At 50.7% G+C, this 25,366-nt stretch overlaps 1 protein-coding gene and 1 long non-coding RNA gene across 6 annotated transcripts in view, besides 3 other annotated features; one reads left to right on the forward strand and one right to left on the reverse strand.

The window, feature by feature from the left end:
• Positions 1–22,683, reverse strand: part of GNG4 (G protein subunit gamma 4) — a 102,924-nt gene extending 80,241 nt beyond the window's left edge. For 2 of the 3 annotated variants that reach the window (NM_004485.4, NM_001098721.2), the window contains exon 1: positions 22,624–22,683. The gene's annotated coding sequence lies outside the window, so the exon portion shown is untranslated. Of the gene's footprint in view, positions 1–21,736; positions 21,860–22,623 lie in introns of those variants that run through there. The other variant, NM_001098722.2, reaches the window with a different exon arrangement.
• Positions 12,118–15,906, forward strand: LOC124904560 (uncharacterized). 3 transcript variants are annotated; one of them, XR_007066960.1, is made up of 4 exons: positions 12,118–14,323; positions 14,458–14,545; positions 14,816–14,915; positions 15,630–15,906. It is a non-coding gene; the product is annotated as an uncharacterized LOC124904560 (long non-coding RNA). The 3 variants fall into 3 exon arrangements; XR_007066959.1 differs by lacking the exons at positions 12,118–14,323; positions 14,816–14,915 and having other exon boundaries at positions 14,340–14,545; XR_007066958.1 differs by lacking the exon at positions 12,118–14,323 and having other exon boundaries at positions 14,398–14,915.
• Positions 20,064–20,358: an enhancer, noted in NCBI's record as "tiled region #105; HepG2 Activating non-DNase unmatched - State 2:TssF". NCBI's record gives its function as "activates a minimal TATA promoter and a strong SV40 promoter by Sharpr-MPRA in HepG2 cells {active_cell/tissue: HepG2}" and the evidence as "EXISTENCE:reporter gene assay evidence [ECO:0000049][PMID:27701403]".
• Positions 21,724–21,833: a silencer, noted in NCBI's record as "silent region_1989". NCBI's record gives its function as "represses an Ori minimal core promoter by ATAC-STARR-seq in GM12878 lymphoblastoid cells {active_cell/tissue: GM12878}" and the evidence as "EXISTENCE:reporter gene assay evidence [ECO:0000049][PMID:35858748]".
• Positions 22,824–23,675: an enhancer, noted in NCBI's record as "NANOG-H3K27ac-H3K4me1 hESC enhancer chr1:235814049-235814900 (GRCh37/hg19 assembly coordinates)". NCBI's record gives its function as "activates a minimal SCP1, AML or CMV promoter by ChIP-STARR-seq in naive H9 embryonic stem cells {active_cell/tissue: H9 hESC(naive)}" and the evidence as "EXISTENCE:reporter gene assay evidence [ECO:0000049][PMID:30033119]".

The following is a 25,366-nucleotide window of genomic DNA, read 5'->3' on the forward strand; positions in this document are numbered from 1 at the left end:
ATCTCAGCACTTTGGGAGGCCGAGGTGGGAGGATCACCTGAGGTCAGGAGTTCGATACCAGCCCGACGAACATGAAGAAACCCCGTCTCTACTACAAATACAAAATTAGCTGGGCGTGGTGGCACACACCTGTAATCCCAGCTACTCAGGAGGCTGAGGCAGGAGAATGGCTTGAACCCGGGAGGTGGAGGTTGCAGTGGGCTGAGATTGTGCCATCGCACTCCAGCCTGGGCAACAAGAGCGAAACTCTGTCTCAACAACAACAACAAAGACAACAACAACAACAACAACAAAAAACCAGACATGGCCCAAGAGTCTTTCTGGCTTTTGTTTCCAAAAGCCTAAACCCCAGAGGTGAGAAAGAATTCAGAGTATCGGAGGAAAATGTCTTGGCCAGAAGCAGGAGGAAGAAGAGCATTGCCTGCAGGACCGGAGAGTGACCCTCTCTGCAAGCTGGGGTGGTTGGGGGCCACAAAGCCTTGTTAGGAGACGGGGGGGGGTTACAAGACCCTAGAACAAAATGGCCATTGGGTGCCCTGAAGCGGAGGAGGTCATGGGCAGTCTTGTGGAGAGTTTTGTGTCCCCAGGCAGGACCCAAGACCACCAACAGCAACCAGCCTAAAGGGTCCCCACCCAGATGATGGTGTCCTACGGGTCACCCAGTGGACAGATACCTGGTCCTGTGTAAGTTCTGGGGAAACACTGAGGCAACCCAAGCAGGCCAAACAGGCAGAATGCATGCTTCGATTTGCGTTTTAAAACATTTAGAAAAGTCACTTTTCCCCGCATATCTGAATATGGGGATTGAGACTCGCATCAGCCCTATTCACTTTGATCCGCAGGTGCTAGGTGGTGGCCCTTTTTAAAGACAGCTTCCCTGCAGGAAGCCCAGCCTCCTTTCTCTGTATGGCTTCTCTCAGGGTTTGCCATTCCCTTCACTTTTGCATTTGTAGAGTCTTCAGCTTCCTTTGGTTCTGAGCAGGACCCAGGAGATGGACATGCATTTCCTCTCTGACAAAACTGGCACTTGTTCTCCTTGGAAGCGATAAAGTCAAACATTTGCTTGAATTTTTTTTTTTTTTTTTTTGCTTTTTTGTTTGTTTGTTTTTAGAGATGGGGTCTCACTCTGTTGCCTAGGTTGGAGTGCAATGGTGCAATCACAGCTCATTACAGCCTCAAACTCTTGGGCTCAAGAGATCCTCCCACTTCAGCCTCCTGGGTAGCTGAGACCCTAGGCACGTGCCACCATGCCCCGCCAATTAAAAAAAAAATGAAGACAGGGGCTTGCTTTGTTGCCCAGGCTGGTCTTAAATAACTGGCTTCAAGCCATCCTCCCACCTTGGCCTCCCAAAGTGCTGGGATTACAGGTGTGAGTCACCATACCAAGTTGGGATAACTCTTCTGAAATGTCAAATGCAATTACAAGAAGCAAAAAAATTGGTCCCAACTTCTCCCATATGGTATGAAAAATTAAAGAATTTCAATGCAGTTGCCTTTACTCTCGGGGACCTAGGCCTCTTCCACTCGCATGCTTTTGCTTCCACTATTTTATCTACTTTACCCCTCCTTGACTCAGCACCCAACACTTCTTGTGAAAAGCCATCTCTGCCCTCCTTCAAGGGTTCATTCTGAGGCTACCAGCCTCTCAAATTTTTCTTTCTTTTTTCTTTCTTTCTTTTTTTTTTTTTTAAGATTGAGTCTTGCTCTGTTGCCCAGGCTGAAGTGCAGTGGCATGATCTCGGCTCACTGCAAGCTCCACCTCCTGGGTTCAAGCTATTCTTCTGCTTCAGCGTCCCGAGTAGCTGGGACTAGCATGCCACCATGCCCAGCTAAGTTTTGTATTTTTAGTAAAGATGGGGTTTTACCATGTTGGCTAGGCTGGTCTCGAACTCCTGACCTCAGATAATCTGCCCGCCTCAGCCTCCCAAAGTGCTGGGATTACAGGCATGAGCCACCATGCCTGGCTCAAAGCTTTCTTGAGCTGGGCAGCCACCTTGGTCCCTGGACCTGAGCACTCCCCTTCATTTCTATGACACTTCTGGGTTTTTACTGTCTTCATCACATTGTTCCCCTCTACTTATCCTTTCTCATGTTGGTGGACAATGAATTATTTCCAATATTTTCTTTTGTACAATGATGTTATGAGCATGTCTCTTGCACGATAATTTTTCCAGGGTAGATACTACAATAGGATTAGAGTTGGTGAGTAGAGATGCCACACATCTTCACTTTTACACTTCCCTGTCTGTTAAAATAGAATGAGTAACCTCCATTCCCCATAACTTCACATACACTAAACGCACACTCACAAAAGAGGCTGGTCATCTTTCTTCAAGACATTCAAGAATTCTCTTGTGGGACTATTTCAGAAAGGTCCCCACATTGTCAGCACCTTAAAGCTGCCAGATACACATCTTCAAATGCCGTAAGTACTTGAATGTTTGCTGCTGAAAACAGCAGCCTGTGACTCAACTACTTGAATAATCAAGACCAACAGCCTGATGATGCCACGCTCTCATCACTTATCAGATGCCGTCATCAAGGCTGAGCAGCAACAGCCGGGTGTTTTGTTTGTCCCGGGAATTCTGACGAAAGTACACGGTTTGCAAAGTGCCAGCCAGCACTGCCTGAGACAGCAATTCAAGGCCTCTGGAGCAGGGTCGCCTGTCATACGCAAGTCCTGTCTGATGGCTCAAGCTGCCCCAGGAATGACCAGAAAGTCACCGTGGGAGTGTGGACGCAGCTCAGAATGACCTAGACGCATGGCCTGTAGACTTGAGGGACACGGGCTCTGGAAGAGGAACTCTGAAATACTACTGTAGCTGGTGTTAGAAAATAATCAATTGGGTGGCCAGAGGCTGAGATGGCTGTTTTGCCTAGGATTCTGACCTAAGCAAACTAAACCCAACTCAATGTCAACAGTAAAATGAAACGTGAGCCTAACCAATCACCAGCTAATTTCTAATGAGAGACTCTCCTTTTTTTTTTTTTGAGACAGAGTCTTGCTCTGTCACCCCGGCTGGAGTGCCGTGGCACGATCTCGGCTCACTGCAAGCTCTGCCTCCCAGGTTCAAGCGATTCTCCTGCCTCAGCCTCCTAAGTAGCTGGAATTACAGGCACGCACCACCATACCCAGCTAATTTTTGTATTTTTAATAGAGATGGGGTTTCACCAGGTTGGCCAGGCTGGTCTCCAGCTCCTGACCTCAGGTGATCCGCCCTCCTCGGCCTCCCAAAGTGCTGGGATTACAGGTGTGAGCCACTGTGCCCAGCTGAGACTCTCCACTTTAACTGATCAAGTATTTTTTCTTTGTCTTGCTTCCAAGAACACCTTATAAATGTTTACCCCTCACGCCCCCTCAGTGGAGCCCTGAACCTCTTGCAGTTTGGTGCTGTCCAATTAATGAATCACCCTCTGCTCGGATAAACTCTCTAAAATTGTAATGTGCCTAGGTTGATCTTTCCACACTGGTTACATGCTGCTCTATCAGCTGAGAACCTCTGGGAAGCACCGTCCTGGAGCATGCAGCACTGAGGGCTGGTGGGCATTGATGCTCTGAGCGGAGGCTCGGTGCCTGGACCCTAAAGTGGCTTCTGCATTAACACTGTTTGCATGCCCAGCGTAGCTTACTTTTTTCTTTTCTTTCTTTCTTTTTTTTTTTTTCAGACAGAGTCTTGCTCTGTTGCTCAGGCTAGAGTGCAGTGGTGCTATCTTGGCTCAGTGCAACCTCCTCCTGGGTTCAAGCGATTCTCCTGCCTCAGCCTCCCAAGTAGCTGGGATTACAGGTGTATGCCACCACGCCCAGCCAATTTTTGTATTTTTAGTAGAGATGGGGTTTCACCATGTTGGCCAGGCTGGTCTTGAACTCCTGACCTCAGGTGATCCACCTGCCTTGGCCTCCCAAAGTGCCGGGATTACAGGCATGAGCCACCGCGCCTGGCCAGTTTTTTCTAATTCCTATGAGTGGCAATACGTGGATGAGTTCTCAGTTAACCAAAAGATAGCAAGAATACTTCCTTCTGTGCACACCTCAAACAGCAGAGTTTAAGTGAAGCCTGGGAGGGCCTGGGAGGTCACCAGCAGAGGGCTGTGTGCGGAGGCTTGCTGCTTCCCAGCTGAACAGCCCGTCATGCAGGGCAAGGCTTAGTTGACATGTTTTTCCTTCTTTCTTTTTTTAAGAGACAGGTTCTTGCTCTGTCAACCAGGCTGGGGTGCAGCGGCACCATCATGGCTCCCTGCAGCCTTAAACTCCTCCTGGGCTCAAGTCATCCTCCTGCCTCCTTCCTGAGGAGCTGGGATTACAGGCACACACCACCATGCCCAGCTAGTTATTTTATTTTTTGTAGAGACAGGGTCTCACTAGATTGCTTAGGCTGGTCTCCAACTCCTGGGCTCAAGCGATCTTCCCACCCTGGCCTCCCAAAGTGCTGGGATTACAGGCATGAGCCACTGCACCCGGCCAACATGTTTCTCATCTGTGTGCAAAGACTGAATACCTAGGCTGCAAAATGAGCTCCCAGAAATGAATTAGAAAATTCTGCCTTACAAGTACAAACAGAGAAGTGGTTCTGGAGATGTGGTTTAACCAACTGGAAAAAGTATTTTTCAGACAGGAGGAGTGGATGAGGAGCCAGGAGACTTGCTTTTAATCCTATTTCTATTTTTAAAAATTATTTGTATGACTTTGAACAAGGTTTTTTCTCTTTGTGTTTTAGTCTTCCCTTTTGTAACTGTCTGTCGTCTTCCTGCCCCAAAACGATTAGAATTAAGTAAAATGCCTCAGCTGGGAACAAAACCAAGATGACGACTTGGCACATTCCTAGAATATTAGACATTGTCATCGGCCTTTGTTGAGATTAAGTAACAACTTAATGGCTCGATTCTGAAAAAACAAAAGCAAAAAGAAAAAGAAAAAACGTAGTCACGTAGTTTTCATTCTAGATTAGAAGCATGGATGAAACCGAAAGACTATTCAAAGAAAATTGCTTTTAAAAGAGGAAGGAAGAACTAATCTTGAAGGCTGTCACCCACGGACACTGCTGATCATCTGTTCCATACATTCAAAGGATCTCTCTACGGTGGTTATTCAGACCTTGCAGACAGGCTGATGTCTGTTGCTCAAGTACGCCATGCATGGAAGAGAGTATATTGGCAGCAGTGAAAAAAAATATAGGACTCATTTAAAAAGCCTGGAAATAATCTGGATACTTTCCAGGAAAAACGATGTAGAGTCTGACGCAGTTGTTGTTGTTTTAATGAGTGACAGCCTGCTGCTGGTCCCTGCGATATGGTTGTTCATGGAGACTTGTCCCTGAGCAGCAGAGCTGGTGGTATGAATGGCAGGCTGGGGATGGAGACAAGCAGGGATAAGTTCCACTTCTTCCCAGGAGCCAAAAAAGCCACAGATGACAAGATCTGCCCTCTGTGCCAGCACCCCTTCACCTGAAATGACAGAACTTCTCATGTACCATATGGCGGGACAGTGCTGGGAAGCCTCCGAGCAAGACAGTCTGCCAGGGAGGCTGGCTCTGGTTATTTCTCTTTCCACTTTATTTTAAAATTTAAAAAATTTTTATTTTTGAGACAGGGTCTCATTCTGTTGCCCACGCTGGAGTGCAGTGGTGCAATCATAGCTCACTGCAGCCTTGAACTCCTGGGCTCAAGTGATCCTCTTGCCTCAGCCTCTCAAGCTGCTGGGACTACAGGTGCATGCCACTGTGCCCAGCTAATTTTTAAAATTTTTTGTAGAGACAGAAGTTCACTTTGTTGCCCAGGCTGGCCTCAAACCCTTGGCCTCTTGCAATCCTCCCACCTCAGCCTCCCAAAGTGCTGGGATTATAGGCATAAGCCACTGTGCTCAGCCTATTTCTCCTCTCAACCAGGAGTCACCTGGTGGTGGGTGAAGAAGCAGCTGGATGGGAGAAGTCCAACCAGGATAAGGCCATAAAAAGCAAGAAAAATGTACACATGGCCCAGCTCATGGACAGTCTTTATAAGCAAATAGGGAAGGATAAAAAGACGAGAATCCAAATGTGAGAAGCAGAAAAATAAAGCTCTGGTCCTAGGAAAGGTTCATGGTGGGAAATGGGAGGATTCGAAATCAGAGAGAGCTCAGATTGGGGTCCTACAGGATGGCACAGTTAGTTCCACTGGTCACTAACTAGTCCCCACTCCTCCAGGGAGGGTGAGGGATCAGCTAGTCTCAAAATTACCCTCCACCCCTGCACCAGGAAGACTCACTCTCTGTAAAGCTTCCCAGTCAATGCCCTTGTGTCACGAGTGGTTACTGTCTGGGGCCAGTGGCACGGGCAGTAAAAAGAATTTGCCAAGACAGTCATAGGTACAGAAATGCAGATTTATTAGCAAAAGCATGGAAATATGTTGCAAGAAAGCAATAGGCCAGTTAGCAAGAGAGGAGCTGACTGGAGGAGACAAAGGCTTCCTGGGGATTTTATAGGATGGAGCTTGTTCTGTGTGCTGGAGAGGGCTAAGTGCAGTATTGATAATGTCAAGGTGGCTGTGAACTAACTTGCATTTTTCTATCAACCGAGGGTCTGGTGATATCTGGGTGCAGGAAGATCGTGAGTCATTTGCGCAGATGGGCTATGTGTCCTAGACTATGAAGAAACGCAGATTTATAGCTTATCTGTATTTTCTTTCTGCTTTCCCTTGCTCCCACCAGCCTGGCTCCTTGTTCCTAATTAGGACCCCACAGTAAGGCTGCCTTCCTTTGCTGGCTGGACGCAGTGGCTCACGCCTGTAATCCCAGCACTTTGGGAGGCTGAGGCGGGTGGATCACCTGAGGTTGGGAGTTTGAGATCAGCCTGACCAACATGGAGAAACCCTGTTTCTACTAAAAAATACAAAATTAGCCAGGCGTGGTGGTGCATGCCTCCTACTCGGGAGGCTGAGGCAGAAGAATAGCTTGAACCCAGGAGGCGGAGGTTGCAGTGAGCCAAGATGGTGCCATTGCACTCCAGCCTGCGCGACAAGAGCAAAACTCTGTCTCAAAAAACAAAAAACAAAACAAAAAAAAGAAATACTTCCTTTGCTGAAGTCAGCAGCTGATAGAGGAAGGCAATACAAAGCCGGGTATAGACAGTGAATAAATTTAGAAAATGTACCAGAACATGGCATTGTTAATGAACCATGGAGCACCAGAAATGGAAGGATTTTGCAAACCATGGTTCCAATGGTTTTAAAGCGCAAAGTTTAAACATTTATAAATTAGGTCCCTTCTAAAGTCAATCAGACAAACGCAGTCTCTTACAGCCTCTTATGGTTTGGATATTTGGATATCCAAATCTCATATTAAAATGTGATTCCTTTGGGAGGCTGAGACGGGTGGATCACCTGAGGTCAGCAGTTCGAGACCAGCCTGACCAACATGGAGAAACCCTGTCTCTACTAAAAATACAAAATGATTCAGGTGTGGTGGTATGCGCCTGTAATCCCAGCTACTTGGGAGGCTGAGGCAGGAGAATCACTTAAGCCCAGGAAGTGGAGGTTGCAGTGAGCTGAGATCGCACCACTGGACTCCAGCCTGGGCAACAAGAGCAAAACTCCATCTCGGCGGGGAAAAATGTGATTCCTGATGTATGGAGGTGGGGCCTGGTGGGAGGCGTTTGAGTCATGGGGGTGGAGCCCTCCTGAGGCCTCCCCAGAAGCAGATGCTGGTGCCATGCTTGTACAACCTGCAGAACTGTCGGCTAAATAAACCTCTTTTCTTTATCAATCACTGAGCCTCAAGTATTTCTTTATAGCAACACAAAACCAACTAATACATGGCTGTATTTTCAGTATCTGTCGCCACAGAAGATACAACACGACAAAGCTGTGATTAATTCAGTAACATACTTAAATTCATCTTTATTAATCCCAAAGGCATCTATGCATACTTGCAAATTAATCAGCAGGATACAAACACATGGCAGTCGCAATTGCTCTACACAGGTTTCCTGGGTTGTGCACCTGTATTCAGAGACCCCTTGCAGTGGCTCTGAAGGCCCACCTTCCACCTTGAGGAAGCTGAAGGGCAGAAGACTGAAGGTAACTTAACCTCCTTAACCAACCAGTTAGTGTTTGAGAACCTGGTATTGCTGCACTGCCAGGGGACACCCAGGTAATGGCCAGGAACCCTCCTCTTGCTAGACAGGTAAGCCCAGACTAGTGTAGGGAGGAACTGGCTCTCTCTCTGTAGAGGGAGAATATCCTGAGAGACAGGGCTGGGCTGTTTTCACCGTGCTTCCTCATACCTGCCCCTCCTCTGACCAGCCAGAGTTATCCGCACTGCCTCAAGGAGAATGAGGACGATTACACAGAAGTGCAAAGAGGAATTTTGCTTTTTACTTCCAAAGCGGGTTCAGAAAGCCTTCTTCAGGAACAAGTTTTAGACGCTAAAGCCTTTGATTTATTTGAGGAAGGCTCTTTGGGGGTCTCAGAAAAGGGGAACCCCAAAGGCACCAGGTCCTGCGGTGAGGCCTGGGGCAAGGTCTAGGGGAGCCCCGTGTAGAGGAGAGCAGCTGGCACTGAGCAGCAGGCCTGCATTCCCTCATCTTTGCCACATGGGGAGCAGTGCCTGCAGCAAGCCACGGCCACGCAGAGGCACGGTGCCCACGCTGAGACCTCCCATCAGAGACCTCCCATCAGAGACCTGCGTATCTCCATGGGTCCTCCAGCAGGGCAATTGCCTGTGCCCTGAGATGTTGGTGAGCCTCAATCACATTCCTCCATACAACAATCTCATGTTAAGACCAGAGATCCGATGAACCCCCAAAGCAGGGTGGGATCCCCAATACTGACAGGCGATGGCATGCGGATGCCCCAGTGTTGTACTTCTGTACCTGGGAGGGACACATCGGAACTGGATTCTGGGACCCTATTTCCTTGTAAGTGCATTCTAGGTCTTTCCCTGCTACCCCAGCTGCTACCTCTTACCCCTAGGGCAAGAGGATACCCTAGGAACAGTGTGGAGTTCGAGTGGAAGCCCTGGGTGCCGTCCTTGCTCCTCTAGGCACCTTGTCCTGATGGTGATTCTCCTTTGAACCACAGTCTCCTCCTTCAAGAATGGGGATAAAGATCCCTGCCTCCCCACTGCACTCCAGCCTGGGCGACAGAGCCAGACTCCGTCTCAAAAAAAAAAAAAAAAATCCCTGCCTCCTGGCATTTCTGTAAAGATCAAGTGGACAGGGTACATGAATGCTTTTAGCAAACTGAAAAATGCTAATCAAATGCTAGTGATTGCTCCTTTGAAAATCCAAGCACAGCCTGCAAAATACTTGGAATATAAATTGAGCAGACATATCGGGAGTAGTTTCAGGTTATGCTTACGTGTCCTTTATTTAAAAAAACAATGCTTAAAACACCACCTAAAAATTCCTCTGACCACCTATTTCAGTCAAACGCTGGAAGATGGGGGATGCTTTATATTAAAGAATTAGAATGAGGCTGGGCGCGGTGGCTCACACCTGTAATCCCAGCACTTTCGGAGGCCAAGGTGGGGGGATCACTTGAGGCCAGGAGTTCAAGACCAGCCTGGGCAACATGGCGAAACCCCTTCTCTACGAAAAATACAAAAATTAGCTGGGCGCGGTGGCGCGTGCCTGCAATACCAGCTACTAGGGGAGGCTAAAGCATGAGAATCGCTTGAACCTGGGAAGTGGAGGTTGCAATGAGCCGAGATTGCACCACTGCACTCCAGCCTGGGAGACAGAGCAAGACCTTGTCTCAAAAAAAAAAAAAAAAAAAAAATTAGAATGAGGAAAACAATGATGAGGTGGAAACAGATGTTTGAACATAGGAGAATTTTCGATGCATAAGGATGCTGCGGGCACTTAACCAGATGTCTGCCCTTCACTACCTGGCCAGGGTGGCACTTTTAAACCATCTGATAATGGAGAGAGGCGGCACAGTCTGTATGGGCACACAGCTCACTCTGTGGCTGAAGCCACATGTGGGTGCACTGGGCCCAAGGAGCTGACCTCTGCTCTTGTGGCACTCCCAGTCCGGCACAGACTTGAGGAGACCACCGAAAAGGAGCCCAGGCCAATGGCCTGCAAAGCCACTTCCCTCTACTTGACCAAGAAGAGCTTCCCGGACCCTGGCTCCTGCCTGCGCATCTGGCCAGCTTCATCTTCCAATGCTCCTGGTCTCCGATAAGCCCCAGCTGCTGGACTGCTGTTTTTAAACCCCTTCCAGGCGGGAGGAACAGAAGAGAGGTGAGTGGACAGGTGCAGGCCCTGGAGCCTGAATCTGCTCCTTTCTAGCTCCGGAAATGTGGGTAATTCCCTTCACCTCCTGCTTTCTTCCCTTCAAAATAGAGGAATGGTTGTATTGGTTTCTATTGTGGCTACAACACATTACCATATATTTATGGCTTAAAACAATGCAGTTTTATTATTTTACAGTTCTGGAGTTCAAAAGTCTGAAATGGGTCTCGATGGACTAAAATCAAGGTGCCAGGAGGGCTGTGGGTGGAAGCTCTGGGGAGAGTTCGTATTTCTGCCTTTTCCAGTGTCTACAGCCATCTGCAATCCTGAGCTTGTGGCTCCTCCTGCATTTTTTTTTTTTTTTAACATTTTACTTTAAGTTCTGGGATACATGTGCAGAACGTGCAGGTGTGTTACATAGATATACGTGTGCCATGGTGGTTTGCTGCACCTATCAACCCATCATCTAGGTTTTAAGCCTTGCCTGCATTAGGTATTTGTCCTAATGCTCTCCCTGCCCTTGCCCCTCACCCCCCAACAGGGCTCGGTGTGTGATGTTCCCCTCCCTGTGTCCATGTGTTCTCATTGTTCAACTCCCATTTATGAGTGAGAACATGCGATGTTTGGTTTTCTGTTCCTGTGTTAGTTTGCTGAGAATGATGGTTTCCAGCTTCATCCATGTCCCTGCAAAGGACATGAACTCATTCTTTTTTATGGCTGCATAGTAATCCATGGTGTATATGTGCCACATTTTCTTTATCCAGTCTATCATTGATGGGCATTTGGGTTGGTTCCAAGTCTTTGCTATTGTAAATAGTGCTGCAATAAACATACATGTGCATGTGTCTTTATAGTAGAATTATTTATAATCCTTTGGGTATATACCCAGTAACGGGCCCTCCTGCATTTTTAAAGCCAGCCCAGCAGCATCCCCCACCTTCTCTCTCAGATGCGCCTATCTTCCTCTTATGAGAACCTTTGTGACGACACTGGGCCTGCCAGGTATTCCAGGATCACCTCCCCATCTCAGGATCTTTCCGTTAATCACATCTGCAAAATCTTTTTTGCTGTGTAAGATTCACAGATTCACAAGTTCCAAGGATTAGAGGGTGGCCATCTTTGGGGACCATGATTCTACCTACCACAGTAGTCATCAGGAATAAGTAGTTCATACAACATAAGCCACTAAGAGCCTGGGCTGCAGGAAGCACTTAATTAATGTGAGCCATAATCATTCTCCCTTGCTGAAACAGAGCCCCCAGCCTGGAAGGCTTTCGCCTTGCACTGGCTGTGCCCCAATAGTTCCATCTGGCCAAATCATGAGACCTCCTTCCAGATGCCTTCCCTGTCCTTCTGGGCCGGGCTTGGTGTCCTTCTGTGTTGAGGTGGGAGCTTTTCTTAATTCCGTGTTGTATGCTTTTTTTTTCTGAGACAGAGTCTTACTCTGTCGCCCAGGCTGGAGTGCAGTGGCACTATCTTAGCTCACTGCAACCTCTGCCTCCTGGGTTCAGGCGATTCTCCTGCCTCACAACCAGCTAATTTTTGTATTTTCAGTAGAGACGGGGTTTCACCCACGTTGGCCAGGCTGGTCTTGAACTCCCAATCTCAGGTGATCTGCCCGCCTTGGTCTCCCAAAGTGCTGGGATATCAGGCGTGAGCCACCGTGCCCCGCTCTGTGTTGTGTTATAATCCTCTGTCTCCCTCACTGGATTGTAAATGCCTCAGGAGCAGGGATGGCCTCTGACTTATTTTGCATTCCTACCCCTAGGACATGGCACACAGCAGCTGTCAAATGTCTCCTGGACGGCTCATGGGTGAAGGTAGGTCTGTGTCCTTTGGGGTGTCCAGAACCTCAGAGCTGCCGTTGCTGCTGTGGGAGGGGAGCAGTGAGGGGGTCTCTAGGTGGGGATCTTGTGCTCTGACAGAGGCAGCTCTTCAGGGTGGTAGCTGGTTTCCCCACAGAGAAGGCTGTCTCTCACCCCAGGCAGAAGAGGACAGATCCATGCATTCAGCCTGGGGAGGAGACCTGGTGTTGCAGGCACATCATGCTTACGGTGGTCAAACCCTCACAGCCCCACGAGGAGCGGGAGAGGCTGGCATAGGACACAAGAGCCTGGGGATGCTTAGGCAGGTTGGGGGGAATCAGATATCAGGAATAAGGACCCACAGAAATCATTTGGTTCAATGCATCTCAAATCTGGTGGCTGCAAAACTCAAAGACTAATTCCCGGACCCTAGCCCAGACCCACTATGTCAGAATGTCCAGGGGATGAGGCCCAAGAAGGGATATTTTAAAAACTGCCCAAAATGTATGCAGCCAGGTTTGAGAACCACTGCTGCATCTACCTTAGGCTTTATACACAGACTGTGCTACAAGTAAATGGTTCTCAAAACAGGTGTGTAAAACAGAAGAAAGGATACACACATCATTCAACAGACTACAGTGAACCTGCCAGACCACGCATCAAGGCGAATACATAAGACAGTCCTTGCCAAGCTGCGTCCTTGAGCCCGCCTGAATCCCGGCAGGGTGGAGTTGAGGGCGGCCTCTCTACTTCATTTAGCCCACCAGACCTTCGGACCTGAGGGTCTCTGATCCAGCCTCTCGGGGCCACCACCCCCTGCAGGGCTCCAGGAAGAGTCAAATTGCCCGGTGGGCCAGAGCTCTCCCTCCCTTTTGTTGCCGCTTGGCGCCTGGCAGGTCAGAGGTCACTGGGCCCAGCAGCCCCAGTCCCTGGATGGGTGGAGCACCCACAAAACAGCCAGGCTGTGAAGAGGCCCACTTTGGAGTGAGAAGGGGCTGCTTCTTGCGTGTCATTTTGCAAAAAGAATCTCTGTCTCTTCCTCTACCTTGAGTTACACTACCAAATACTCCTTTTGGTTAATGTAGCTTTCTTATATGCTAGGGGTGAGAGGAGGGGAAAGCCACCTTATTCTGTCAGGAAGGCACTTGGGCATAAATTAATCTGTAGGCCAAGTGCAGTGGCTGATGCCTGTAATTATGCACTTTGGGAGGCCGAAGTGGGAGGATCACTTGAGGCCAGGAGTTCCAGACCAGCCTGGGCAACATAGTGAGAACCCATCTCTACAAAAAGTTTTAAAAGAATTTAGCCGGGCATGGTGGTGGGCAACTGTAGCCCCAGCTACTTAGGAGACTGAAGTGGAAGGCTCACTTGAACTGGGGAGCTCAAGATTGCAATGAAATACCATCACATCACTGCACACCAGCCTGGGCAACAGAGCAAGACCCTGCCTCTAAAACTAAATAAATAATCGGCGGGGCACAGTGGCTCACGCCCGTAATCCCAGCACTTTGGGAGGCCGAGGCAGGCGGATCACCTGAGGTCAGGAGTTCTAGACCAGCCTGGCCAACATGGTGAAACCCTGTCTCTACTAAAAATACAAAAAATTAGCTGGCGTGGTGGCGGGCGCCTGTAATCCCAGCCGCTAGGGAGGCTGAGGCAGGAGAATGGCTTGAACCTGGGAGGTGCAGGTTGCAGTGAGCCGAGATCGCGCCACTGCACTCCAACTTGGGTGACAGAGCAAGACTCCACCTAAAAATATAAATAAATAAATAATCTGTGACTCCATCAACACTTTCACCTGTTGGCTCCACGTGCATCAGATGAGCTCATTTGGGAGGTCACCTTAACCTCGGATCAACATGGCAGGTCCTCCCACAAGCAGCCTATTTAAAATGTGAGCCACCCCCTTCCCCGGAATTCCCTACCTCCCAGCCTTGTTTTATTTTTCTCTCATGCACTTACTATATCTTAAATGCTTATTTATTCATGTACTTGTTTAAACTACTTTTGATTTTCTGACTTCTTATCATTGGTCTGATTCCTCCACCGTAACAGAACTTCCATGAGGGCGGGGATTTTTCGCTTCCCCCGCAACTGCCTGCGTTTTCGTAGCCCTAGAGCTTCCAACGTACAGTGCGGAAAAGCAACATAACACACTAAGAACCGTGCGGAAAAGGAGAGAAAACCAGACCGCAGGGGCATTTCACAGCTAACCACAGCGGTCCGAGGCGAACGCAGGGTGGAAGAACCCGAGCGAGGCCCGGCAGGGGCGGGGTGAGCCTTGGCCCCGCTCCCGTGCAGGTGTCGCGGGTAAGCTGCCGCGGTTACTGTGAAGCAGGGCCAAGGCCAGCCCTCCGCCTCGAGGCCACTGGTGCTTGGGGGTGGGAAAAGAGTGACCGGGGGCAACTGAGCAAAACATAGAACAGAAACTCCCTCTCGAATAGAGACCCACGCACGGAAGGATGATACACTGTGATTCCCCGACGTGGGCCTGCAGCAAGAGACGGGTGCTAACAGCGTCCGAGCCAATCCGTAAGCATCAGAGGGACAAAGAAATCATAAACAAGAGGCAGGATGCAACTGCTTCAACGCAGAAAGAATGAGTCATCCAGGAAGGCGAGGTGGTGGCGGGTTGGCTGTGGTTTTGCAGAGGCGGGCAGGAGGGGCAGGGGGCCAGGGAGAGGGCAGGGTTGGGAGGGTCTCTTTTAAGGGAATCCTATGCATGAAAGTCTGTGTAAGAAAGGGTGTGCCTCCTACAGAAGGATATTTGTTTTGTCCTAAACTTGCCGTGTGTTCTTGGAGGCGCGGGCCTCCCTGCTGTCATCACACCTCGGATCACCCCAGGCAATCTCGCCCCTGTGGCTTCACCTGGGTCCAGCCAGACCTCTGCTCAGCTCTGCACGTACATGCCCCCTCGATGTCACCTCCTGACTTGGCAAGTCATACACCCTCTCTCTACTTGCCCAGCTTCATTCACAAAACCAGGTCACATTACCCCTCGTCCATCCATGCTCAGTCTGGAAACCCTGGGATCCCAGACACCAGCCTCTCCCTGGCCCTCTGTTTCCAATCAGACGGCCACCCCGACTGACGCTGGGGCCGGGGCACCCTTGGGCGTTATCCAGTCTCCCTGTCCTCCCTCTCCTGCCCCACGCCTCCGACCTTCCCCACATGGCAGTCACAGCCAGACGGCCAAGGTGGGGCCTGCTGCTTCCTGCTTCTGCCTGACAATGGCCCTGGATTCCCCATTCTTCACGGTCAGTCTCACCTTCACACCCCGGCTCTGAGCAACCTTTCTGCTCTCTCCACTCCTCTTTCATGACCCTGGGCCCCTGCTGGCCGCCCTGCCTGGAAAGCCCTTTCTCATTTGTCTGGCTTGAAAAACCTGCCTCAGCTCACCAGGGCCAGCTCAAGACTCCCTCTGTTGTCACACGCTTTCTGCACTGCTATCAGAAAGAACTAACACTCTCCCTGTCTGTGCACTAATCCAGGGTAGGTGGGCTGTTTTCACACATGCACCCCCTCTAGGTTCTGACTCCTCTGGAGTGCATGACCATATCTTATTTGTTTCCCTGTCACCAGTGCCTAAACTATCTGATGCATATATTTATTGCAGGTGCTTATCACACATGCAGTCAATGAACACCTCACAAATGCAAGGTTCACATGCAGTCTTCGATGAACACATCGATCGCATCCAGCAGTATGTCTGTATTGGAAAAGTCCTTCCATAGCACCCAGTAATGAAAAGGAATGTGGCGGGGAGCAGTACTGGACAGTAAAACTAAAAACACCAGGAAGATCACAGTGAGATCAGCAGAGCCCTAGAATGGCAAATCCATGACAAAGAAAATTTCTGATGAATAAAAACGTGCCTGGGTCCAGGCCAGCAATTGGCTTCTTTCAGACACTATTGACTGCAACAAACCCTAGCACAAGGAGAGGGTCTAACGAGAAACTTGTTCAGAGGATGCTGACCCATCCATCAGTGAGCACAGCCAACCCAAAAAGGCGGGGACGCGGCAGAGCAGGGGCTGAGGGCACACTTGCTGCAGTGTTCACGGAGCACACACAGAAAGATCTGCCCGAGAGAGTCCCCAAAAGGCACAATTCTACAAGGTCAACCAAGTGGAGGGGAATGGCAGTGAAACGCCAAACTCCTACTGAAAGGTTGATGGGTACAGCCTTCCAGAGACAGGGCTGGGTGGCGGGAACGCGGGCACCCAGAGGTCCAGATCAGCAAAAGAGGCCAGTGACTCTGTCTCCATCAGATAAAATTCAGCCACAGCGGGAGGGAGCGTGTGAGACCCACGAAGGCCTTGCCCTGGACCTACACCTCACCCTGTTCCAGAGAGAATTCAGTGGCCGGCAACACTGCCAGTTCCCCTTTATTTCCCTTGAGGTCAACATTTTGGAATTTTCTACTCACATCCACCGAGCGACCCTCCTCGGCCACCTCCACACCCACACTCCAGGCCCACCACTGCCCTTGGGCATGAGCAAGCCTGACGCTGTCTCTCATCCTGGTAACACCTTCTTCCCCGCACACACCGTCAAACACATGCACGGTGTAGACTGAAGTCATCAGGTCTCCTTAACCAGGCTGCAGTCCCCTAGTACCCTGCCATGCAGCCCCACAGCTGCCGGGGGGATAAACAAGCACCTTCAGACTAGAGCAGCTTCTGAGTGATACGCAAAGTTAACTGGGGCACAGAGAAAACAGAATTTTCCCAAGATTGCTGAAGGAAAACTAAAACCGAATGAGGACTGACTCATGCTCGTTTAGTCGGCCACAGGCTAGGGGCAGCGGAAAGGCCCTGCTGGAAATTTCCATCCAGGGTCTGTGCAGGGCGGGTACCCCAGAGCCGCAGGGCAGGGCAGATGGCTCCTCAGATCGGGCTGGAGAGACATCCAGGAGGAGGATGCCAGTTGTTGGGTGTAGCTGGACCTTCCTATAGACAGGGAGCCATGGGAAGACAGAGACCACTGATGAGGAAGGGGAGATGCAGCAGCAGACACTCCGTCCACATGGGCCCCGGGCCGCCAGAGACCCCAGGGCCCACGTGGACGTGTGGGTGTTGAAGGGTAACACGTAGCCCTTTCCAAGGTGTGTTGATGACTTGGCTCAGCCTGCAAAGCCAGGCTGCCTGTACTGCTGCCTGACCTCTGGCCTCTGGCCTCCAAGAGCCTGACCCTCTGGGAAGACAGAGTCCCAGCATGGGGCATGACCACCCCATCTGCTCTTCCTGTTCATCAGTGTCTGGACCTGAGCCACAGAGTCCTGCTGGGCCATTGTGGAGAAGAACCTGCTCTCAGCCCTCAGCAGCCTCCCTGCCCTGCCCTGCCTCCCACCCCAATCTCAACAGCCTCTTGCTCTTTTCTTCCCGCCATCTAAGCTCATTTCTCCTCTTTGGGCCTTCATACATGGGTACTGCTTTGCTAGAAATCTCTCAATTTTACCTCTCTGTGTGGTGGGACACCAGAAGAAACAAGGTTGAGTTTGGGTGCTGGAATTTGGAGGAACATGTAAACACTTTTTCTGCTGTAGTTGTAGAGGTGCTTGAATAAGAATGTTCAGGCTGGGCATGGTGGCTCACACCTGTAATCCCAGCACTCTGGGAGGCCGAGTCAGGTGGATCACCTGAGGTCAGGAGTTCGAGACCAGCCTGACCAACGTGGAGAAACCCCGTCTCTACTAAAAATACAAAATTAGCCGGGCGCGGTGGCACATGCCTGTAATCCCAGCTACTTGGGAGGCCAAGGCAGGAGAATCGCTTGAGCCCAGGAGGCGGAGGTTGCAGTGAGCCAAGATCGTGCCATTGCTCTCCAGCCTGGGAGACAAGAGGGAAACTCAGTCTCAAAAAAAAAAAAAAAAAAAAAAAAAGAATGTTTAAAAAGAGTTAAAAATGTTTTCCTTCTTCCTATTTTATCGCCCTGCCTCTCTTTCTTTGTTGGAGCCCATATGGAGGGGACAGAAGACAAGGCCTTACAGCTGTACATTAGGCAGGGGCACCAGGAGGAGGTCCAGGCACTGATGAGAAAGGCATAAAGGCACAGTTAATGCCAGCTCATATGATCCATCGTGGCTGTTGTCCCGCCTCATGCACAGGGGGTGTTGGGGAAGAAACAATCTCTCTGGCCCAGAGGGATACTTAGAGTGCTTCTTCTATCTCTAGGGCCTTCCATGGCCTCAGAGCACATGTGTCACACCACAGAAAGCCAACCCAGCAACTCAGAGAGAAATGGTTTTAGAAATCTAAGAAGCAAGAGAAACAAATCCTCCTGGGAAAGGAGCTCATGTGCAGTGCCTGAGTGTGGGTCTCTCTACAGTTCTCCACTTTTTTCTCTTCCACACGTCTCTGTCACTTTCACTTGTCATTTGTGTATACTTTTCCTACATCAGTTAAAAAAGGTTCCCACCACCCACCAAACCCGCTGCCAGAACACTCCTGGACAGAGAGGACACAAGCAGTCACTGCTGTTTTTTGCAAATTAGAAACTTGGCAGGTATCCTGTGAGTATCAAAGGAGATCATCCACATGACACGTCTAGCCCAATCATTGCCCTTCTTTCCCCTTGTTGCCCACTAACCTGGGCTCCTAGCCCTATCCGATCCTCGGAGACTGGGCCTTTGGTGACCCACAAACCTCACGGCCATGGAGACGAACAGTTCCTCCATAGCTCCCTATACTTCCTCACTCCTGGGCACCCAGGGCTCCTTCCCCAGTGAGCACGGCGTCTTGCACACAGCCGGCTTTCCCTTATCTGCATGGCACCTGTCACTCTGTCTACCAATTTCCAGCAGGGAATCTGATTGCCCACCAGCCACCATTCAGTCTAACAAGAACTCCTTGGCAATTAGAGGAATTTGGAACGCTCCAGCAAGCTCACTGAACTGATCTCTTTTTAAGCACCCATTGTTTTCTCTGCAGTAATTTTTTTCTTTCAGCAGCTTTTCTAGCCCCTATTTCTTAACATTTCCTAAAATGAAAATTTCATTTGTGTTTTTACTTTTGATCATTTATTAACAGTCTTTGGCTTATTCTTTAGAGGTTTTTAACCAGCTTCTTTCAGTCTTTCGGTAGTATTACCCTGCAATCTCCTTTTCTTTCCTGATACCATTTAGCTTTTCTGACTTTCAATTAAAATATCCTTGCTATCCACTGTTGATAGGTTATTTATGTAGTACTTATACCTCTATTAAAGGAGTTAAATTTTGGTTTCTGGTTTTAAAAAAGAAACAATCTCTCTACCTGAATAATACAAGTCTCTATGCCTAAGTATATCTAGAATGAATAAAAATACCAAATTTTAAAAAAGGAAAACCAGCAAGATTAGATAGCAGTATATCCTTAAAAGGTGTTTCAAGAACAAAAATCAGGTAATATTTTAAAGTTACTACTTCAAAATTCCACGAAGAAAGGGGCAATCTTCTGACATACATTATTAGGCATTCTCCCCTCTCCAAGCAGAAACTGAGACAAACTAGGAAAAATGTGATAGTGAAATAAGTGAGATGCAGCTATAAATAAAAGAAGAAATTGTTGGGTACAGACCTTAGTCTTTGCTTTCTGCATAAGCAGTAGTTTTGTGGTAGGCGTGGGTTTGGGCGTGTAGGTCTTGGGGGAAGGAGCATTGTACACATTTTACAGTGTTCCTGCCCTCCTGAGACAGCTGTGGCTCTTGCTTCCCCAGGGGTCAGGGTCCATGTTCCCACCTCATGTTGTTTATTTATTTTGAGGCCAGAGTGCAGTGGCACCATCTCAGCTCACTGCAACCTCTGCCTCCCAGGTTCAAGTGATTCTCGTGCCTCAGCCTCCCAAGTAGCTGGGATTACAGGCGTGCACCACCACGCCCGCCTAATTTTTTGCATTTTTAGTAGATACGGGGTTTCACCACGTTGGCCAGGCCGGTATCGGACTCCTGACCTCAAGTGATCTGCCTGCCTCGGCCTCTGAAAGTGCTGGGATTACAGGCGATGTTCCCACCTGATGTTCTATCATTTCAAAGAATGCACTGAATATTGGGGGACTTCAGGGACTGTCACTTTTGCTTTAAAAACTGTAAAGTGAATCTAGGAAAAGCTTTTTTTTTTTCTGGTTTCTCCACCATCAGTTTGCATGAGAAACGCCAATCATAGGACTGCTGGGAATGGCCCCTTAGCTGTGCTGTTTCTGAGCCAGGCCTACATCCTCCACTGGCTTCCTTGGGCGAATTTTAAGGCCTATGAGCACTGGAGTTGTGCATGGAGGTGGGGGCCAACAGGAAGTCCATTGTCCTAAATAGTCATTTCAGCCTAACTAACCCCATGGTGAGGCTGCTCATTAACAGGCAAGGCATCACTGTAAACCTTGCATTTGCATTTACACCTACTATTTATTAAGTGCCACAGCCATCTCTTATCATGACCGGTCACTGAGCAAACCCTACATTTCAAAAACAATCCAGTTTATAGGTCCTCTGTCTGTTTCTCCGGGCTGGAAAAGGCTTTCCATTTATCAACTTAGTTGTCCCCCCAGTCGCCTCTTGCAGGGAACAGGGCCAGATCAGATGGCGGCTGGTTCCCCTCCCCCGCCTCATACAAAAATCAGGAAAAGGAGTTGCGGGAGGAATCGAGAAGCCGGCCGCAGAGCCCAGGTCCCCCATGGCTACTGTGAGGCATTCGCCGCTGCAAATTTCCTGTCCACTGTGGGAAGCGGCACACCTCACTCATGAGCAGACGACAGGACTGGCACGTTTTAATGGAGCACACGGGCGCAGCCTAGGCGGCCTTTTGCTCCGGCTGAGAGGCACGGGCCCGGTGCCAGCATTTGACAGTCCTGGGAGGCGACGGGTAGAGGAGAGACGCGGCAGCCGCGGGGCCGGGGAGACGGTGGGAGGCCCGGCGTCCATCATCCACTTTATTACTTGATCAAACTTTAACATTTTCGGGTTTCCTAACACCTTAGCCCCAAATACTCGAAATGAAGCAAATCTTAAATTAAGGAGTCTTTCCCCACCACGCTCTGTCCTCCTCCCCACTTCACCCTCCCGCCGTTTCGCGTTATTTCCAAGGCAATTTAAAAAATCAAGCCAAACAAAGCTCCCCGGTTGCTGCCGGGCGCGCGCGGCGAACGAAGCACATTTCAGTTCAGCACCAGCCTCGGGGACAGACGCCATCAAGGAGGTGAGGAAAACCACCCTCAGCTGCGGTGGCTCCAGCGTCACCCCGAGTGCTCCCGAGGCGGCGTCTGGGCTGCTGGGGAGCCAGGAGGGCTTCCTCAGGCACTCGCCAGAAACATTTCCCCAAAGAAAACGCCCAACCAGCCACGCCATCTCCTGCCACTGAGGTCCTTTTCCACGGGGGACGTCCCCGCTGGGAAAACAGCAAACGCTCTGTGACCTACAAATGGAAGAGGGGACCCCCGAGCCCCCGCCTGCCTCATGCCGGAGGGACCGGGCGCCCCCAGCCCCGGAAGCCCCTGGACGCGCTCCGAGGGGGCTGTCCACACCCGCGCGCGGGCTTCCCCGGGGCCCGGCGGGAGGTCCCGGGAGAGGAGGCCGAGGGAACCACAGGTCTTTGTGTCGCGTGCAGCAGCAGCTGGCGGCGTGAGGACCACACCGGCGCCAGAGCCGTCTCCCTAGGTCCGGAGACTTTCACCCCGAGTTTCCCTTCCGCGTCTGGCTGCACCGGGCTGGGCTCTCCCCGCGGACACCCGGGGCTCCGGCCGGGCGCCCACTTACCCGGAGCGGGATCACGCGCGGGCTTCGTCTGCAGCGCGGTGCTCGCGGGGGGCGGCCAGGCCGAGCGGCATCGCTCCGCATCGGGGCGCGGGCCGGGCTCGGGTGCAAACGCGCGCCTCGTGCCCCTCCCGCCGCCCGCGGGGTCTCCGCGTCCCGTCACCGGCCCCGCCCCGCGCCGCGCCTCCCGCCCTGCAGGGCCCGACCACGCGGGCCTGGGGGCGCAGGCGGACCCTCCCCCGGCCCTGGACGCTGGGGGCTTCTGCTCGGCCCCCTGTGCCGTGGGGGCCCAGACTGGGGAAGGGAGAGCCGGCGACTCTGCGACCCTCGCCCCCGTTCCACGCTGGCCGCGCCCACTCCGCCGCGGGGTCTCGCCCGGGAAATCCCGCCCGCTGCCACCGACGTCACTGCTGCGTCACCGGGGCTCCCGCGCTCCCCGCCCCCGCCCCCGCCCCAGCCCGGGCCCGCGCCCCCCGCCCGCTACTCGGGCCCACGCCCCCTGTCCCAGCAAAGGGCCGCGCCCCCGCCCCGCCCCCCCGGAGCCCGCGTGGCCGGGGGACCACTGGAGGGGTCTGTGGGGCGGGGCCGGGGGGTAAATCACTGGGGGGGGGTCTGGGGGGCGCGGCGGGGGGGAGATCACTGGAGGGATCTGCGGGGCGGGGCCGGGGGGGAAATCACCGGAGGGGTCTGGGGCGGGGCCGGGGTTGCTGGAGGGGTCTGGGGACGGGGCCGCGGTCAGCGCGGGCTCCCCGAAGCCTCAGGTACCGCCCTCGCTCGGGGTGAGCTCCAGCGCCTGGGCCGTTGGGGCGCGGGCCGCTTCCCACCCTGCACCAAGGGACGCCTCGGAAGCCTCCGGCCAAGGCGGGGAACGGCGGAGAAACGCGGAATACCTGTGCGAATTCGCGCGGCCGCGTCGCCACTAACCCGGCGAAGGCTGACCCGACGTTGCTGAGTGACGGGGACCAGGGGCCGGCGAGGCCCCCACTCCGGGGGGAGCGAGGCCGGGAGGGCGGAGGGCGCGTGCTGGAGGCGGGGGTGCCCTTCGCGCCCCGGTTCTAGGAGCGACTGCTCTCCAGGCCTCGTCCCTGTGGCACCGCAGGCTTTTGCGCTGGAGATTTTAAAACACTTTAGTGATTACAGCCCTCTTCCTTTCAGGGAAAAAACAGTTTAAGCGCCGTCCATTTTCCGACTTGGTAAAATAATACGAAACCTTGGGAATAGAGAAGCAACGAAAACATTTCACGCAGTGTTGGCAAGATTTGTAGAAAAGGAGGCCAATATTAATTCCCTTTGTGAAAACAACAACATAACATCATGATGAACGATTAGGAAATATTTCGGGAAGATCTGGGCGCCTCATCCTCATCCGCCGTCCACAAGCGGTCCCTGCCACAAAGGACACAGGGCGCGCTTGTTGCTCAGATCCCTGGCCCCACTGGTTGGACCTTGCCCTACACACACGTGTACCTTCTCGGAGCCCAAGGGCCAGATTGGATGCGAACGCGGAGATCACAAAGGCCCGTAAACACGGGGCCAGCAAACACATCGGTTTTTACAAAGCTCTCAAGTGCCCATTTAAGGCACAAAATTAAACCTTGGCAAACCGACGAAGCCAGTCCATGTCCACCTCACAGACTTTTAAAAGTGAGAAAGATATATGAGTACTGCATTGAAAATTCAAGCAAATCCAAACCCTAGCTCATTGTTTTCACCCCAAAATCTTATTTCTCCTGCATTTCCTGCCCACCTCCCGCCCCCGACTGGTTGGCTAAGGCAGAATCCTAGGTTTCCTTTTATCCCAAATCCCAATCTCAATTAATCAATCACAAGGGAAATCAGTGTCTACACTTTCAAGCGCATCATTTCCTTATTTTATCTTTCTAATTGTTACACTATCATTCAAGATAGGATCATGTCAGTTTTAAACAGGAGGAAGAGGTCAGTCAACAAGTGGTTCCAGAGTGGATCCCAAGACCAGTAGAATCAGCGTGTCACCTGGGAATCTTTTAGAGATGCAGACTCCCAGGCCCCACCCAGACCTAAGGAATCAGAAACTCTGGGGGTGGGGCCCAGCAACCTGTGATTCCCCAAACCCTCCAGGTAATTCTGATTCCGTTCATCTCTGGACATCACCCAGGATAGCTGCAGTAGTGTAAAGTCTGGCACCAGGACCCTGGGTATCAGTTTTCTTTCTTCTTATTTATTTATTTTTTTTGCGGAGTGGGAGGGAGTCTCGCTCTGTCGCCCAGGCTGGAGTGCAGTGGCGCGATCTCGGCTCACTACAACCTCCTCCTCCTGGGTTCAAGCGATTCTCCTGCCTCAGCCTCCAGAGTAGCTGGGACTACAGGCGTACGCCACCATGCCCAGCTAATTTTTGTATTTTTGGTAGAGATGGGGTTTCACCGTGTTGGCCAGGATAGTCTCGATCTCTTGACCTCATGAGCTGCCCTCCTCGGCCTCCCAAGGTTTTTCTTCTTTATTCCTAGTCATATCCTTTGTTCTGAAGTCTTCTTTGTTTATATCTATATAACCACTGCAGATTTCTTACTATTAGTGTTTGCATGATATGTGTTTATATCCTTTTAATTTTTAAATCTATCTGTATCTTTTTTTTTTTTTTTTTTTTTTGAGACAGACTCTCGCTCTTGTCGCCCAGGCTGGAGTGCAATGGTGCCATCTCAGCTTACTGCAACCTCCGCCTCCCAGGTTCAAGTGATTCTCCTGCCTCAGCCTCCTGAGCAGCTGGGATTACAGGCGTCCACCACCACACCCAGCTAATTTTTGCCTTTTTAGTAGAGACCGGATTTCAACTTGTTGTCCAGGCTGGTCTCAGACTCCTGACCTCGGGTGATCCTCCCACCTCGGCCTCCCAAAGTGCTGCGATTACAGTCGTGAGTCACCACGCCCGGCCTGTATCTTTGTTCTTAAAAGTGGGATTCTCCATCTTCGTAGGCAGCACAGAGCTGGATCTGCTTTTAAAATTCAGCTTGACGATCTGTCAGCTTGACAACTAATAGTAAAAAATCCGCAGTGGTTATATAGATAAAAACAAAGAAGACTTCAGAACAAAGAATATGACTAGGGATAAAGAAGGAAAACCTTGGGAGGTCGAGGCGGGAGGATCATGAGGTCAAGAGATCGAGACTATCCTGGTCAACATGGTGAAACCCCATCTCTACTTTTAATTGGAATGTTTAGTTCATTTACTTCTTATGTAATTATCATGTGGTTGGGTTTAAAACTACCAACTTGCTATTTGTTTTCTGTTTGTCCTATTCTTCATTCCTTTTTTCCTGCCTGAGTATACTTTAGTATTCCATTTTATCTCAAGTATTGACCTTCATTTTCCTCCTCTTTCTTTGTTCTAGGGTTTATAAAATGCATCTTTAATTTACCGTCGACTACCTTCAAATAACATCATGCCACTTCTTCTTCACTATTAGATTCTTTATAGTGTGTGCTTCCATTCCCCCTCTTCCATCCTTTGTATTATTTTTGTTATATCTCCCTTTTACATAGGTAATAACCCCACAGAACATTATTTTACTTTAAGCTGTCAATTTTCTTTTGAAACATTTAGAAATGATTTTGAAAAATCTTTTATCATTTCTGATGCTCTTCATTTATTTGTGA

The sequence above is a fragment of the Homo sapiens genome, chromosome 1 (assembly GCF_000001405.40).
Source record: "Homo sapiens chromosome 1, GRCh38.p14 Primary Assembly".
NCBI lineage: Eukaryota > Metazoa > Chordata > Mammalia > Primates > Hominidae > Homo > Homo sapiens.